This window comes from Homo sapiens, chromosome 4, assembly GCF_000001405.40.
Source record: "Homo sapiens chromosome 4, GRCh38.p14 Primary Assembly".
NCBI lineage: Eukaryota > Metazoa > Chordata > Mammalia > Primates > Hominidae > Homo > Homo sapiens.
Genome location: NC_000004.12, coordinates 139,691,090 through 139,706,175, shown reverse-complemented (window position 1 = coordinate 139,706,175; position 15,086 = coordinate 139,691,090). Strand labels below are relative to the sequence as shown.

Sequence of the window (15,086 nt, the reverse complement as noted above, 5' to 3'; positions counted from 1 at the left end):
TATTTAATACTGTACTGCTATTTGGGATGCAGGAGGTTATGTATTATGGGAACACTAGTATTTAAGTGTCTCTCTTTCTTTTTCTATTAATATTTTTCCCGGCCTTTTTAACTTCTATTGTATCCACAAAAAAAGAAAAGTACTACTAAACAATTTTTGAAGATGCCCACACCAGACTCAAGCCCTTTTCCTGACGTCAAAATGTGTTATGTATGCTCATAATTCATTTTGCCTTTTATTTGAAAGCTGTGAGGTAGAATCGTTCTCATTTTACAGATGAAGAAAATGAGGAAAAGTCATCTGCATTTTGCCAGACAATAACTGCACTTCAGGGTCAGAACAGCTTTGGGGGTTCCGCTGTACTTCCCGTATCACCCTCCAAACCCCACATGACACAGGGCATGCAGCAGAACCCAACCCACGTTCTACAGCCGTGAGCATGACCCACCTTCCTCAGCCAAGAGAAAGAATATTCTCTTCGCACTTGTCCCTGGGCAATTCCTTGAAATGGTATCCTTTTTTTACTTCTTCCTCTTGAAATTGTGCCCCAAAGAGTTCAAGAAACCAATAACTAAAGGAAATTCTTGAATTTGGAGGATGGCAGATAAGAAAAGAAATAACTTACTGAAACACTGAAACTCTCTCTCCTTATGAGATTAAAAAAAAACTGGCTGAAATTTGTTGGAACCAAGATGGCTAACTGGAGTCTGCACAGAACAAGCTTGCTGATGTCACAGCCTGAATTTCCATGACATTTCATACTAACTCCTCTGGAATTTGCACATGCTACCTCTGAGGCAGCATAAAGAGATAACTGGACATGCCCAAGGACTTTTCAGACCTCCCCTTTCTTTCCACCAATCACCTACTAATCTCAGAATTTACCCCCTGACATTTTCTAATAAAAATACTGCTTGGAAGCCAGCAGAGGGAGACAGATTTGAGCTTGACTCCTATCTTCCTGTGAGTTGACTTGCAATATAAAGCTTTTGTTGCCCGGGCAGAGTGGCTCACACCTGAATCCCAGCACTTTGGGAGGCTGAAGCAGGAGGCTCGCTTGAGCCCATGTGTTGGAGGCTCCGGCCTGGGTGACAGCAAGACCGTCTCTTTTTTAAAATTAAATTTCTTTCTTTTCCCAAAAACCTGGTTTTACAGTATGGGCATCAGGCAGCAAGCTCTTTTGGCCTGGAAACACTTTTTTCTTTATAAAGTACATTTTTATAATCTGTTTTTGTTTTTCTTTGGGTTTTTTGTTGGTTTGAGACAGAGTCTGTCACCCAGGCTGGAGTGCAGTGGCGCGATCTTGGCTCACTGCAAGCTCCGCCTCCCAGGTTCACACCATTCTCCTGCCTCAGCCTCCCGAGTAGCTAGGACTACAGGCACCCGCCACCATGCCCGGCTAATTTTTTGTATCTTTAGTAGAGACAGGGTTTCACTGTGTTAGCCAGGATGGTCTCGATCTCCTGACCTTGTGATCTGCCCGCCTCGGCTTCTCAAAGTGCTGGGATTACAGGCATGAGCCACCACGCCCAGCCTTCTATAACCTGTTTTGTTTTGTGCTATCAGTTGATGACTCCCTTCTCTGGCTACTCTATGTGTTTGCCTGATGTCCCCCACATGCCTTCCTATCTGTTGTTTTCCTATAACCAATGAAAGGGCTCAGCTGCTTTATCAGCTTCTGTCTGAAACTTTCCATCAAGAGAGAAGCAGTCAGAGTGGCAGGATATGTCAGTAGTCCTCGGAACGGCCAGCACACGGGTCAGGCTGCTGTGTCCCTACACAACCGGTCATGACTTCAGCATGCATTTCTAAAACTAGGGCACAACACACTTCCACTGATGATATGGATGTACCTACCCCAAGCAAATTTCAGTTCTTAAACAGGAAATGTATTCTCTAAAGTGTGTGTTTCTACAAAGCCATTTCAAGAAAAACAGAATAAAGACTTTATTTTTATTTAACAAATGATACCATATTACCTTCATGGTGGGAACAGCTTCTGCAAGTATTAAAGGGAAGAGAAAAAGTTAGAATTGCCGCCTCAGTTTCTTGGCAATATTGAGGTCCAGATATTCATCCAGAAAGCTGTTTGCAATTCCCAGGGCACCTAGGAGGGTCAACAAGGCCAAAATCCCCAGACTCAGTCGGAAACCGGTGATCCTGCAGAGTGGACATGAGGGAGAAAAGTGACAAACTGGACTGTAATAAGGAAGCTGAGAGTCCTGAGGTAGGCTGTCCTATCGTTAACACTGTCCAGAACTTCTATATTTTTGCAATTTGAAAATTTTAGCTCATCACATAAGTTAAAGGGAATGCCTAGCCATAGAGATCACTTGGTTTCTTTGAACATTCAAAGCATTATCAAGGCTAGGCAGGATTATTTCCTCGGTAACTTTCTGGAGACAATGCAAAATTTTTGCAAGGAACTAGAGTCCACATTCAGTGCACAGTTTTATACTTGCATTTTCCCATCTCATGCCTAATTGTGTATGAACTGGCAAGACTTGACCTCAGACAGTATGGATTACTTTTGCCACCACAACTCACAGTGCTGTTAATATCTCTCAGGAGAAGGAAACTGACCCAGACCTTATCCTGCTACTTTTTGCATAAATACAAAATTACTGGGTTCTCCTTACCGTTTTTTAGCAGCTTCTGAATATCCCCAGAAGTATAGGTGACGGCCATATATGTACACCAGACCCAGACAAGTAGCAAAAACTATAGGGGGGTGGGAAAAAAAAAGAAAAGGCACAAAATACAACAGCAGTCTCTTAAGATGTTGTACGACGACTGAGAAAATATTCACAAAACATATATTGGACAAGATACTTATATTCAGAATATAGAGAGAATCCACATAGGAAGGAAACAAATGTGCCAATAATCTCAAGAAAAATGTTTCAACATGATTCAACATCAACAAATTCCCACTTAAATCTATAATGAGGCTGGACGTGGTAGCTCAGGCCTGTATTCCCAACACTTTGAGAGGCCGAGGGGGGGTGAATCACTTGAGGTCAGGAGTTCAAGACCAGCCTGGCCAACATTGTGAAACCTCGTCTCTACTAAAAATACAAAAATTAGCTGGGCATGGTGGCGGGCACCTGCAGTCCCAGCTACTCAGGAAGCTGAGGCAGGAGAATCGTTTGAACCCAGGAGGTGGAGGTTGCAGTGAGCCAAGATCATGCCACTGAACTCCAGCCTGGGTGACAAATTGAGACTCCATCTGAAAAATAAATAAATAAATAAAAAACTATAATGAGATGGCACCACCACACATCCAACAGAATGGCTAAAATTGTAAAAAAAAAAAAAAAAAAAAAAAAAACCAGTAACACAAAATGTTGGTGAGGATGTGAAGCAACTGGAATCCGCACACATCATTGGCAGGAATGCAAAATAGTACAGCCACTTTGGGAAAAGTTCTGGTAGTTTCTTATAAAATCGAACGTAACATTTGACTCAGCAATCTCATTCCTATGTATTTACCCAAGAGAAATGAAAGCATGTGTTCACAAAAGGACTTGTTTAAGAATGTTCATTGCAGATTTATTCATTATAGACAAAAACTGGAAACAGTCCAGAAGCCTATCAACAGGAGAATGGATAACCAAGCTGTGATAGAGTCTATTCAATTAAAAGAAACAGATCTATGCAACACAACATTTTGCAATGAAAAAAAACAGATCTATGCAACACAACATTTTGCTGAGTGAATGAAGCATTATACAGGCTACATACTGTATGATTCCAATTATACGAAGTTCTAGAATGGACAAACCTAACTGATGAAAACAATCAGAAGTGCTTGCATCTGGGAGTGAGAATGGGGACTGACTGGGAGAAGCAGGAGGACACTTTCTGGGTGGTTGTCATGTTCTAGATCTTGATAGAGATCTGGACCACACAGGTGTGTGTACTTCTCAACATTCATTGAAGATTTATGCATTTTATTACATACAAAATTTATCTCAAAAAGAATTATGAAATACAGTATGATGATGTTCTATCATCGCATCCAGTGAAACATATCAATACATATCAATGTCTTCCCTATGTTAGGGCCCCACTCTCTTCCTCAGCACCTCACAGATGCAAGTTGCCAGAGCCCTACTGTAAACATTTGGAGTCTATGTGTGGGACTGCGATATGCTAGATTAAATTAAATTTATTATTTTACTTGGCCGCATGATTTTTTTTTTTTCTTGAGACAGGGTCTTGCTCTGTCACCCAGGCAGGAATGTGTGGCATGATCACAGCTCAGCACAGCTTTAACCTCCTGGGCTCAAGCAATCCTCCCACCTCAGCCTCCTAAGTAGCTGGGACCACTGGTGTATGCCACCAGGCCTGGCCAATTTTTTAATTTTTTTTTTCAGAGAAAAGGCCTCCCTATGTTGCCTAGGCTGGTCTTGAACTCCTGGACTCAAGCCATCCTCCTGTCTTGGCCTCCCAAAGTGCTGGGATTGCAGGTGTGAGCCACCACACCCAGCCCCGTATCTACCATAAACCAGGTATTACTTTAAGGATTGAGGTCGGCAGTGAAAAAGATACAAGCTCCCTGACTTCAGAGAGTATACATTCTCTCAGCAAAGACAGACAACAAAGAAAAAAATGAGAAGAAAAGTGCAAACTTGAAAGTGCTGTGAAAGAAATGAAGAGAGATGGGAGAGAGAGGAACTGGAGGAGGTTGCCAAAATGGGGTATAGGAAGGCCTCTGGAGGGGATGACATCTGTATCGGCACCACAGGACAGGAACGAGCGGACCAAGCAAAGAGCTGGGAAGGAAGAGCTGGTGGACCCTTCCCAGGGTCTGAGGAAGCCAAAGAGTTCTGAACATGGTTCTCAGTTTTGAGACTCCCTGTCTAGGGAGTTACTCCCAGAAAGCCAATGAGAACAGTTCAGGAACAGTTAGTAGGTGACTTACTTTGGATGAGAAAGAATGAAAAGAAATTTCTGACAAGATACTCAAGCAATCCTTTCTGACAGGCAGTCTGCCTCATTCAGCCTATCACAGAGAAATCCAAAGGGTCAAATGGCAGAGACAGAGTCCCATTACCAAAAGGCGCTTTTCTTATTAGTTGTTAACGTGCTCTTACGTGACAAGGAACAGCGGTTTCATTCATGCCCTTAAGCGACACAAGTATAGTTGTAATAAAGTGAAGAAGTCTTTCTCTAAAGGACATTGTACCTGAAATTACTCAGTTCACAGTAAAAACTAAAAGAAAGAGAGTGATGGGGTTGCCTTTGAAAGCAGCTGGATTTTGGTTTATTTAAATCTTGGCAATCAAGTATAGACCAAAATGAGACAGTGAAAGTTACCAGAAAAAGGAGATTGAATTTCTCCAACGAAGGTAGCAGGGGCTGGTCTGACTCACTGTTAAACGCATAAGCCAAGTTTGGAGAAAGCCCTCAGCTCACCAAGGATACCCCAGTCAAATAGAAAGTGGATGTTTGTAGAGTCGCTACATACAAACGGCAGCACTACATACTTGGAGACCTTTAAGAAAAGGTGCATGGGTTGTTGGTACAAATACTTACAGACCCGGCTCTGCACTTGAAAGGAAAAATTTCCCCACATTGGTGAATGTCAAGTTGGAAAAATTACTTAACATCTCTGTACCTCAGCTTCCTCATCTGTAAAGTATAAATTAATTATAGACCCTCCCTCATATGAAGGCTTTAAATCCTGTAAATCTTACACATGGGACAATGTATGCATAAAACTTAAAAACAGTACCTGGTGGCCGGGCGTGGTGGCTCACGCCTGTAATCCCAGCACTTTGGGAGGCCGAGACTGGCGGATCACGAGATCAGGAGATCGAGACCATCCTGGCTAACACAGTGAAACAGCATCTCTACTAAAAATACGAAAAATTAGCTGGGCGTGGTGGCAGGCACCTATAGTCCCAGCTACTCCGGAGGCTGAGGCAGGAGAATGGCGTGAACCCGGGAGGCGGAGCTTGCAGTGAGCCGAGATCGCACCACTGCACTCCAGCCTGGGCAACAAAGCGAGACTCCATCTCAAAAAAAAAAAAAAAAAAAAAAGCAAAACCAAAGACCAAAAAACAAAAACAGTACCTGGCACATAGTAAGGGCTCAATAAATAATAGCTATAATGATAATTATTATTATTTTCTTTTTGAGACAGGGTCTCACTCTGTCACCCATGCTGGAGTGCAGTGGCACTGTCATGATTCACTGCAGCCTGAAACTCTTGGGCTTGAGAGCTCCTCTCACCTCAGCCTCCCAAGTAGCTGGGACTACATGTGTGCCCAGATAGTTTTTTAAAAAAAATTTTGTAGACACAGGGTCTCCTTTGTTGCCCAGGCTGGTCGTGAATTTCTGGCCTCAAGCAATCCCTCCACCTTAGCCTCCCAAATTGCTGGGATTACAGGCATAAGCTTCTGGGCCTCGCCAGCTATAATTATTAATGTGAATTTTTCATTCTGTGTCCTCCTCCTTCAGTTAATTAGAATTATAGGTGACCCTTGAACAACATGGGTTTGAACTGCACAGGTCCATTTATGCATGGATATTTTCAAATAAATATATTGGATTGTGCAGGAGGTGGCTTTACAAAAATAAACATAAATATATTGGAAAACATTTTGGAGATTTGTGACAATGTGACAAAACTCACAAATGAATCACATAGCCCAGAAATACTGAAAAATTAGGAAAAAGGTCTGTCACAAATGCACAAAACAGATGTAGATACTGGTCTATTTTATCATTTACTATCATAAAATATACGCAAATTTTTACAAAGCTTCAGCAGAAAGACTATATAGATATATATATGAATTTTATGCAAAGTTAAAATTTATCAAAGCATACAAACACAGACCATAATGCATGATGCCACTTGTAGTTGAGAGAAATGTAAACAAGTGTAAAGATGCAGTATTAAATCATAACTGCATAAAATTAACTATAGAAATACTGTACTACTGTAAATATTTTGTAGCCACCTCCTGTTGCTATTGCAGTGAGCTCAAGTGTTGCAAGTATCTGCTTAAAAGGTGATGCTAATTATCTCCAACTGAGCAGTTCTTCTTTCCAGAAAATTGCGTATCGCAGTAAAAAGTGATCTCTCAGGGTTTTTGCCTATTTTTCATCAATGTTTAGTGCAATACCATAAACCTTGAATAATGCCATGATACCCATACAGATTGCTACTAGTGGTGCTGAAAGTGCTCCCAAAAAGCAGAGAAAAGTTATGATATTACAAGAAAAAATTGAATGGCTTAATATGTGTCATAGATTGAGGTCTGCAGCTGTGAGCTGTGGTTGACCACCATTGCAAGATAAATGAATTCAGTGCAAGGACCAGTGGAAAAAAAAAAAAGAAGATGAAGAAAGAAGAAAGGAAAAGATAAGAAAAGAAAAAAGAAAGAAAAAGTGATTTGTAAAGCTGTCACTTGCAGCTACACCAGCAGGGGGAAAAACCTTGCACTTTTTCCAAAATGTCTTTTTATCTCATATTGAAATGCAGCTTTTATGTGGGAGCAGGATTGCTATAAGAAACACATACTTGGCTCTCCAACGCCAGCGCCGCCTCTCGCTCGCCGAGCTCCAGCCGAAGGAGAAGGGGGGTAAGTAAGGAGGTCTCTGTACCATGGCTCGTACAAAGCAGACTGCCCGCAAATCGACCGGTGGTAAAGCACCCAGGAAGCAACTGGCTACAAAAGCCGCTCGCAAGAGTGCGCCCTCTACTGGAGGGGTGAAGAAACCTCATCGTTACAGGCCTGGTACTGTGGCGCTCCGTGAAATTAGACGTTATCAGAAGTCCACTGAACTTCTGGTTCGCAAACTTCCCTTCCAGCGTCTGGTGCGAGAAATTGCTCAGGACTTTAAAACAGATCTGCGCTTCCAGAGCGCAGCTATCGGTGCTTTGCAGGAGGCAAGTGAGGCCTATCTGGTTGGCCTTTTTGAAGACACCAACCTGTGTGCTATCCATGCCAAACGTGTAACAATTATGCCAAAAGACATCCAGCTAGCACACAGCATACGTGGAGAACGTGCTTAAGAATCCACTATGATGGGAAACATTTCATTCTCAAAAAAAAAAAAATTTCTCTTCTTCCTGTTATTGGTAGTTCTGAACGTTAGATAATTTTTTTCCATGGGGTCAAAAGGTACCTAAGTATATGATTGCGAGTGGAAAAATAGGGGACAGAAATCAGGTATTGGCAGTTTTTCCATTTTCATTTGTGTGTGAATTTTTAATATAAATGCGGAGACGTAAAGCATTAATGCAAGTTAAAATGTTTCAGTGAACAAGTTTCAGCGGTTCAACTTTATAATAATTATAAATAAACCTGTTAAATTTTTCTGGACAATGCCAGCATTTGGATTTTTTTAAAACAAGTAAATTTCTTATTGATGGCAACTAAATGGTGCTTGTAGCATTTTTATCATACAGTAGATTCCATCCATTCACTATACTTTTCTAACTGAGTTGTCCTACATGCAAGTACATGTTTTTAATGTTGTCTGTCTTCTGTGCTGTTCCTGTAAGTTTGCTATTAAAATACATTAAACTATTAAAAGAAAAAAGAAACACATACTTGTAGACTCTAATAGGATTCGAGAAAAAGCAAAATCCTTGTATGACAACTTTAAGCAAAAGGAAGATGAAGGATCTAAAGCTGAAGAATTTAATGCCAGCAAAGGATGGTTTGATAATTTTAGAAAGAAGTTTAGCTTTTAAAATATCAAGATAACAGGAGAAGCAGCTTCTACCAACCAAGAAGCAATACATGAGTTCCCAGGCACCATTAAGAAAATCATTGAGGAGAAAGGATATCTGCCTGAACAGGTTTTTAATGCAAACAAAAGTGCCCTGTCCCGGGGGAGAAAAAAAAAGTCACAAAGGACATTTATTAGTAAAGAAGAGAAGCAAGCTCCAGGATTTAAGGCAGGAAGGGATAGGCTAACTCTACTGTTTTGTGTAAATGCAGTCAGGTTTATAATCAGGACTGCCCTTATCTATAAAGTTGCTAACCCCCTGAGCCTTAAGGAAAAAGATAAACAGCACCTGCCAGTCATTTGGTTGTACAAAAAAAAAGCTTGGACAACAAGAACCCCTTCTCTGGATTGGTTCCATCAATGCTTTGTCCCTGAAGTCAGGACGGGATTACCTTCTAACATTCTTTTGATATTGGACACTGTCCCTGACCACCCAGAACCCCATGAGTTCAACGTGGAAGGCATAAAAGTAGTCTACTTGCCCCCAAACACAACATCTTTAATTCAGCCTCTAAATCAGGGGGTTATCAGGACCTTTAAGGCTCATGATACAAGGTACTCTATGGATATGATCGTCAATGTTGTGGAAGAGAACCCTGATAGAAACAGCATTATGAATGCCTAGAAGGATTACACCATTGAAGATGCTAGCATTGTTATAGGAAGGTTGTGAAAGCCGTCAAACCTGAAACAATAAATTCTTGCTGAAGAACACTGTGTACAGGCGTTGTGCATGACACTCACAGGATTTACAACAGAGCCAATCAAGGAAATCATGAAAGAGATAGTGGCTGTGGCAAAGAATGTGGGGGATGAAGGGTCTCAAGATATGAATCTTGGAGAAATTCAAGAGCTAATAGACACCACGCCAGATGAATTAACAGAAGATGACTTGGTAGAGACGAGTGCTCTGAACCACTGCCAGATGATAAGGAAGAAGACAGAAGAGGCAGTACCAGAAAACAAATTGACATTAGACAATCTGGCAGAAGGGTTCTGATGATTCAAGTCTGCTTTTTTACTTCTTTTATGACATGGACCCTTCTATGATACAAGCACTGAAACTAAACGTAACAGTGGAAGAAGGATTGGTACTATATAGAAACATTTTTAGAGAAAAAAAGCAAAAACGTCAGAAATGATATTTCTATAAATTTATACCTACTGCGCCTGCCAATTCTGTCTCCGCTTCCACCTCCTTCACCTTTTCTGACTCTGCCACCCTTGAGGCAGCAAAACCAACCCCTCTTCTTCCTCTTCCTCAGCTTACTCAACGTGAAAATGATGAGGATGAAGACCTTTATGATGGTCCACTTCCACTTAATAAATAGTAAATATTTGTTCTTACTTATAATTTTAATAACATTTTCTTTTCCCTAGCTTGCTTTATTGCAAGAATACAGTATATGATACATAAAACATGCAAAATATTTATTAGTAGACTGTACTCAGTAAGGCTTCCAGACCAATAGGATATCAGTAGTCAAGTTTTGGGTTATCAAGTTACATGCAGATTTTCTACTGTGTGTGTGTGGGGCGGGGGGTCAGCACCCCAACCCCTCCATTGTTCGAGTCAACTGTAGATTATTAGATTTGAAGACAAAGCTCATGTCGTTCTCATTCTTGAGTATCTAGCATATAGTTTGTCTCAATATTTTTTTCATTATTGAATTAAATTAGAATGAAGCCAAAGTTCATATACCTGCAACATAGCACTCTGATGCACACACTGTTTATTTTGTTTAGTCTCCAGGATTGGTAGCTATATAGTTGCATATCTGCTCCTTTTTTTGTTTGTTTTTTTGAGATGGAGTCTCTGTCACCCAGACTGGAGTGTAGTGGCACGATCTCAGCTCACTGCAGCCTCCACCTCCTGGGTTCAAGTGATTCTCCTGTCTCAGCCTCCCAAGTAGCTGGGATTACAGGCATGCGCCACCACACTTAGCTAATTTTTGTATTTTTAGTAGAGACAGGGTTTCACCATTTTGGCCAGGCTGGTCTCGAACTCCTGACCTCAGGTGATCCACCCACCTGGGCCTCCCAAAGTGCTGGGAATATAGGTGTGAGCCACCGTGCCTGGCCATATATCTACTCCTTAATCGTTTAAGCATCACAGTCATCATTAGAACACAGTTGACTGTATTTTAACATTACCTTGGTTGAAATACCACCCAGCCATCCACAATGTAATTATGAATATAGGATAAAACTCCACACAGTTTTGTCTGCAGAAAAAAATAAAGACATAGGTTATTTTATGAGAAAAGTATACACTGAAGCATTGATTTTTCATCTAGAGGTAAATGTTCAGCCTATTTTAACAAAATATAAGAACTTACAAAAGAGTTTAAATGACCTTTACATTTAAAATCAATCTTTCAAGGTTGAACATTGTTTAAACCTCAGAGCAGGGCCAAGAATATTCTCTTACGTATTAAGTTGCCGGTAGTAGAAGTGAGTTATAGCACTTTCCCAAAAGACAGGCCTCCTGAGCCTAAAGATCACTCCATATCTTATCTAAAGAACTTAAGAGATTACTCAATTCATATTCAAGAGATTTCTTATTTTAAAAATTCCCTCACATCCATTGCCTTCCACTTGAGTTACCCAGAACATTACAAAATGGTCTTTAAATAATTCCCTTAAAATCTCCTGAAGTAAATCAGTGAGCATATTTCATTCCCATTTTATGGAGGAAGAAACTAAGGCCTGAGAGCCCAGACTGACATGCATTGCAGAGAATCAAAGATAGACAGCATCCATCTCTAGATTCCAAAGCTCTGTCCTAATGTCAAGTCATATTGCCTCTATTCATAGAAGACGTGGATGGAAAATCTGACACTAATTTAAGCAAAAGGGAATAGTTCTCTGGGAACTATAATTAATTCATCTGCATCTAACAAAGGGGAAAAAGATGACTTATATTCATCCTCCCTCCTAAGGTATAACTCCAAGTGATCTTGGTTAGGTTGGCCGAGCTCTTTGCTGACAATTTCACCACCAGAAAGAATTTAACATAATGTGTGATGAGGTCTTGAGTAGATCCTGGTGGAAGGTCATAGTCTACAGGATTGTAAATGACCCCATATCTTTCCTTCAGTAAGCCTCAAAGCTTAAATACTTAATATTACAAGGCAATTGATCTAGAAATAGATGACGCTGGTTGTTGAAGACCTAGGTCTTTTAGCCTGGGTCACCATAAGTGATCTTTTTTCTCTGAATTTAAAAAAAAAAAAAAGCATAATTACAAAGCGTAATTCTTCCCTCATTCTCCATAATCCCACAGAAAACTGCGTCTAGGTCAGCTCAACCTTATCAACTTATGCCTCAACTACATGGGAAAAAACTCCCCAATAATAACTCCCCAGTAATAACTCAATCATCTTTTAAAGCTGGGTAAGAAACATGCATCATTAACAAGCTCAATGCTCACAGAAAGACATGGCTGAGGTAGAGTCCTGAAGCACGTATGGAAAATTTTAACCCCACCAGCAAAGACACCAGCGAGGTTACCCACACACATCTCTAAGGGCCAGGAGAGTGACCATCAGTCCCCTAAAAAATTGGAAATGGATAATATGAATGCAAAATTGCTTTCTTCTTCCTTTTTGGACTGTGGCCATTACCACCCAAAAGGCCACTGGTGACCCAAGGAATGTCTTGTCTAAAGCCTAACACTGATACTCTTGCAAACCGTAACTACAACTTTCTAGAACTCACAGAAGTAACCAAAGTTTTTCCTCCTGCTGCTTCTCGTTCTTGGCATGATTTTGCTTCTGATGGTTGTCTTTCCATTAACATCTTTTTGAGTGGCTATGATAGGTTGAGTGAAAAGATACTTGATAAAATTCATACTTTATATTACGGCTATGCAAGGAATAAACAGCATTCCCACGTTTCTTTTTCCTTGGCTAAATCCATAGGCCTGTTTCCCACGAGGTAAAATGTAGTAGTAGCAGAGGAAGGCTCTAGTCCTTCCACACTCACTGAAAATTTCTTTTTTTTTTTTTTTTTTTTGAGACGTAGTCTTGCTCTGTCGCCCAGGCTGGAGTGCAGTGGCACGATCTCGGCTCACTACAAGCTCCGCCTCCTGGGTTCACGCCATTCTCCTGCCCCAGCCTCCCGAGTAGCTGGGACTACAGGCACCTGCCACCGCGCCCGGCTAATTTTTTGTATTTTTAGTAGAGACGGGGTTTCATCGTGGTCTCGATCTCCTGACCTCGTGATCCGCCCACCTCGGCCTCCCAAAGTGCTGGGATTACAGGCGTGAGCCACCGCGCCCAGCCCACTCACTGAAATTTTATATGAACTTTTTTGGAAACATAACACAATTGTCCCATCATTTATTGTTTTGTAATACACCTTAAATTATTCCAAATGTAAGCATCAAGTTTTTCCACAACATATCTTTATTCAAAATTAGGTGTGATAAGATTGTTTTAAAAGCACCTTCAAAAATAGCCCAGGTTAGCCTTCATAAAAGTCTAATTATTTAGAGGTTTTTCTAGTGGCCTTGGCTTGGCATCTGGGGACAAAGAGATAATATTGTGTAAGAATGTCCTAAGTCCAAACTGCACTGCAGAGGGCAGAAGCCCTTTGGGTGTCTGTCCACATAAATTGATAGGCATGTGTGCTTTTGTGTCTCTTATCTGAAAGAGGAAGAAGGCCTTTGAGCAAGGAGAAAGGAAATAAAAATAGAGGGGATGTTTTGGAGTTCCCCTGCTGCCCTCACAAGCTAGGGAACTAGTTTCACACCTAATGGGAAACCAGAGACCAGAACAGATGCTGACGGATCGTCCTCATGAAAAACTTGGTGAGATTCCAGATACAAGTGGTGCCATGCCTCAGATGACAGAAGAGACAAAGTCGGGGAGAGTCACACCCTTAATCTCCCTCTGCCACAGACCCAGAGCAGCTCCTGGTGGTGGTGGAAGGCACTCCAGAACCTGGGGAGGGTATTGTACTCACAGAGGACTGGGGAGCAGGACAGTGGCATAGCCCCTTGCTTCAGCTGCTTGCCAGCAGGAGCTGTGTCCCTGGGCACATCCCCTGTATTCCCAGAAGGAATTGGGAAGATGGGGAACCGGGGTGCTGGGATCCTGGGTGAGCAGCAGGTGGCTGGAAGCCACTGAGATTTAGGCAAGGATGTGATTGCAGCTGCGTTTGTGCTCACAGGATGGCAACACCTGGAGTACTGGAGCAGCTCAGCACCATATCTCTGTACCTTTCTTTCTCAAGAAATAGGCCCTTTGTCCCCTACAAGTGGCTGGTCACTGCTGAGCTCACCCCAACCTCACGTCCCAGCTGTGCTCATTGTACTTTCACCCTGGTCCCTCTTTTGCTGACCTGCCTCAAGCCTTAGTCCCTTGGAAATGAGACTTTGCCCATTTCTTGCTATCATCTCTCAGAGATTGAAAATAATTGCTGGGCGCAGTGGCTCATGCCTGTAATCCCAGCACTTTGGGAGGCCGAGGTGGGCAAATCACGAGGTCAGGAGATCGAGACCGTCCTGGCTAACACGGTGAAACCCCGTCTCTACTTAAAAAATATAAAAAATTAGCCGGGCGTGGTGGCGGGTGCCTGTAGTCCCAGTTACTCGGGAGACTAAGGCAGGAGAATGGTGTGAGCCCAGGAGGCGGAGCTTGCAGTGAGCCGAGATCACGCCACTGCACTCCAGCCTGGGTGACAGAGTGAGATTCCGTCTCAAATAATAATAATAATAATCATCATCATCATCATCATCATCATCATCATCTGACTGCCAGTGGGGTGCCCTGTTTGTTGCTGACAGTCTTCCCTGCTGCCTGCCTGGTGAAAGCACCAAGTATTGGTTTGGCCTTGAAATACCTGGAATCCCATTCTACCTGCTAATTGTCACCTCCTCCAGCCCCTCCACCATGTGACCATGTCCTTCTGCCTGATTCTGGGTCCCTCCAGGCCTGGATGGTGTCCCACAATAACACGTCCTCAGTAAGCTGTCAGCAGGCATGTTTAACTCAAGGGGACCAAACTCTGAAAATTACTTCTTGACAATCCTGTCAGTGGCTAATTACAGTTTCATTGACATGAAAATAATTTATAGCCTCTTTTAAGTCATGAAGGCAGATATATTCTATCCTCTTATTACAGGGGATCCTCAGGAAAATTTCCCAAATGGAACAGCAAACAGCCTGCAGTAGCTGTCAATCTTCCCTTCCTGTGAGAACAGGGGGTAGAGTTGATTATGACCACTGTCTCCTCTCTGCATGTCCATACTGGAAAAACAGGCTGTCCATGGGAAAACAGGCTGTGTATACTCATTCCCTGGCGAGAGCCCTCTTTGAACAATCCCC

At 42.0% G+C, this 15,086-nt stretch overlaps 1 protein-coding gene and 1 pseudogene across 8 annotated transcripts in view, besides 2 other annotated features; one reads left to right on the top strand and one right to left on the bottom strand.

Moving 5' to 3' along the window:
• MGST2 (microsomal glutathione S-transferase 2) overlaps positions 1 to 15,086 on the bottom strand; it is an 88,800-nt gene that overhangs the window by 48,443 nt on the left and 25,271 nt on the right. For 6 of the 8 annotated variants that reach the window (XM_017008211.3, XM_047415701.1, NM_001204366.2 and 3 more), the window contains 3 exons: positions 10,909 to 10,979; positions 2,640 to 2,721; positions 1,980 to 2,160 (listed from right to left, as the gene is read on the bottom strand). In XM_017008211.3, coding sequence (XP_016863700.1) covers positions 2,028 to 2,160; positions 2,640 to 2,721; positions 10,909 to 10,979 — 286 coding nt within the window. In that variant the 3' untranslated portion in view covers positions 1,980 to 2,027. Of the gene's footprint in view, positions 1 to 1,932; positions 2,161 to 2,639; positions 2,722 to 10,908; positions 10,980 to 15,086 lie in introns of those variants that run through there. The other 2 variants (NM_002413.5, NM_001204368.2) reach the window with 2 other exon arrangements.
• Positions 5,189 to 5,238: an enhancer, noted in NCBI's record as "active region_21930". NCBI's record gives its function as "activates an Ori minimal core promoter by ATAC-STARR-seq in GM12878 lymphoblastoid cells {active_cell/tissue: GM12878}" and the evidence as "EXISTENCE:reporter gene assay evidence [ECO:0000049][PMID:35858748]".
• On the top strand, positions 7,541 to 8,550 carry H3P16 (H3 histone pseudogene 16; annotated as a pseudogene).
• Positions 13,525 to 13,574: an enhancer, noted in NCBI's record as "active region_21929". NCBI's record gives its function as "activates an Ori minimal core promoter by ATAC-STARR-seq in GM12878 lymphoblastoid cells {active_cell/tissue: GM12878}" and the evidence as "EXISTENCE:reporter gene assay evidence [ECO:0000049][PMID:35858748]".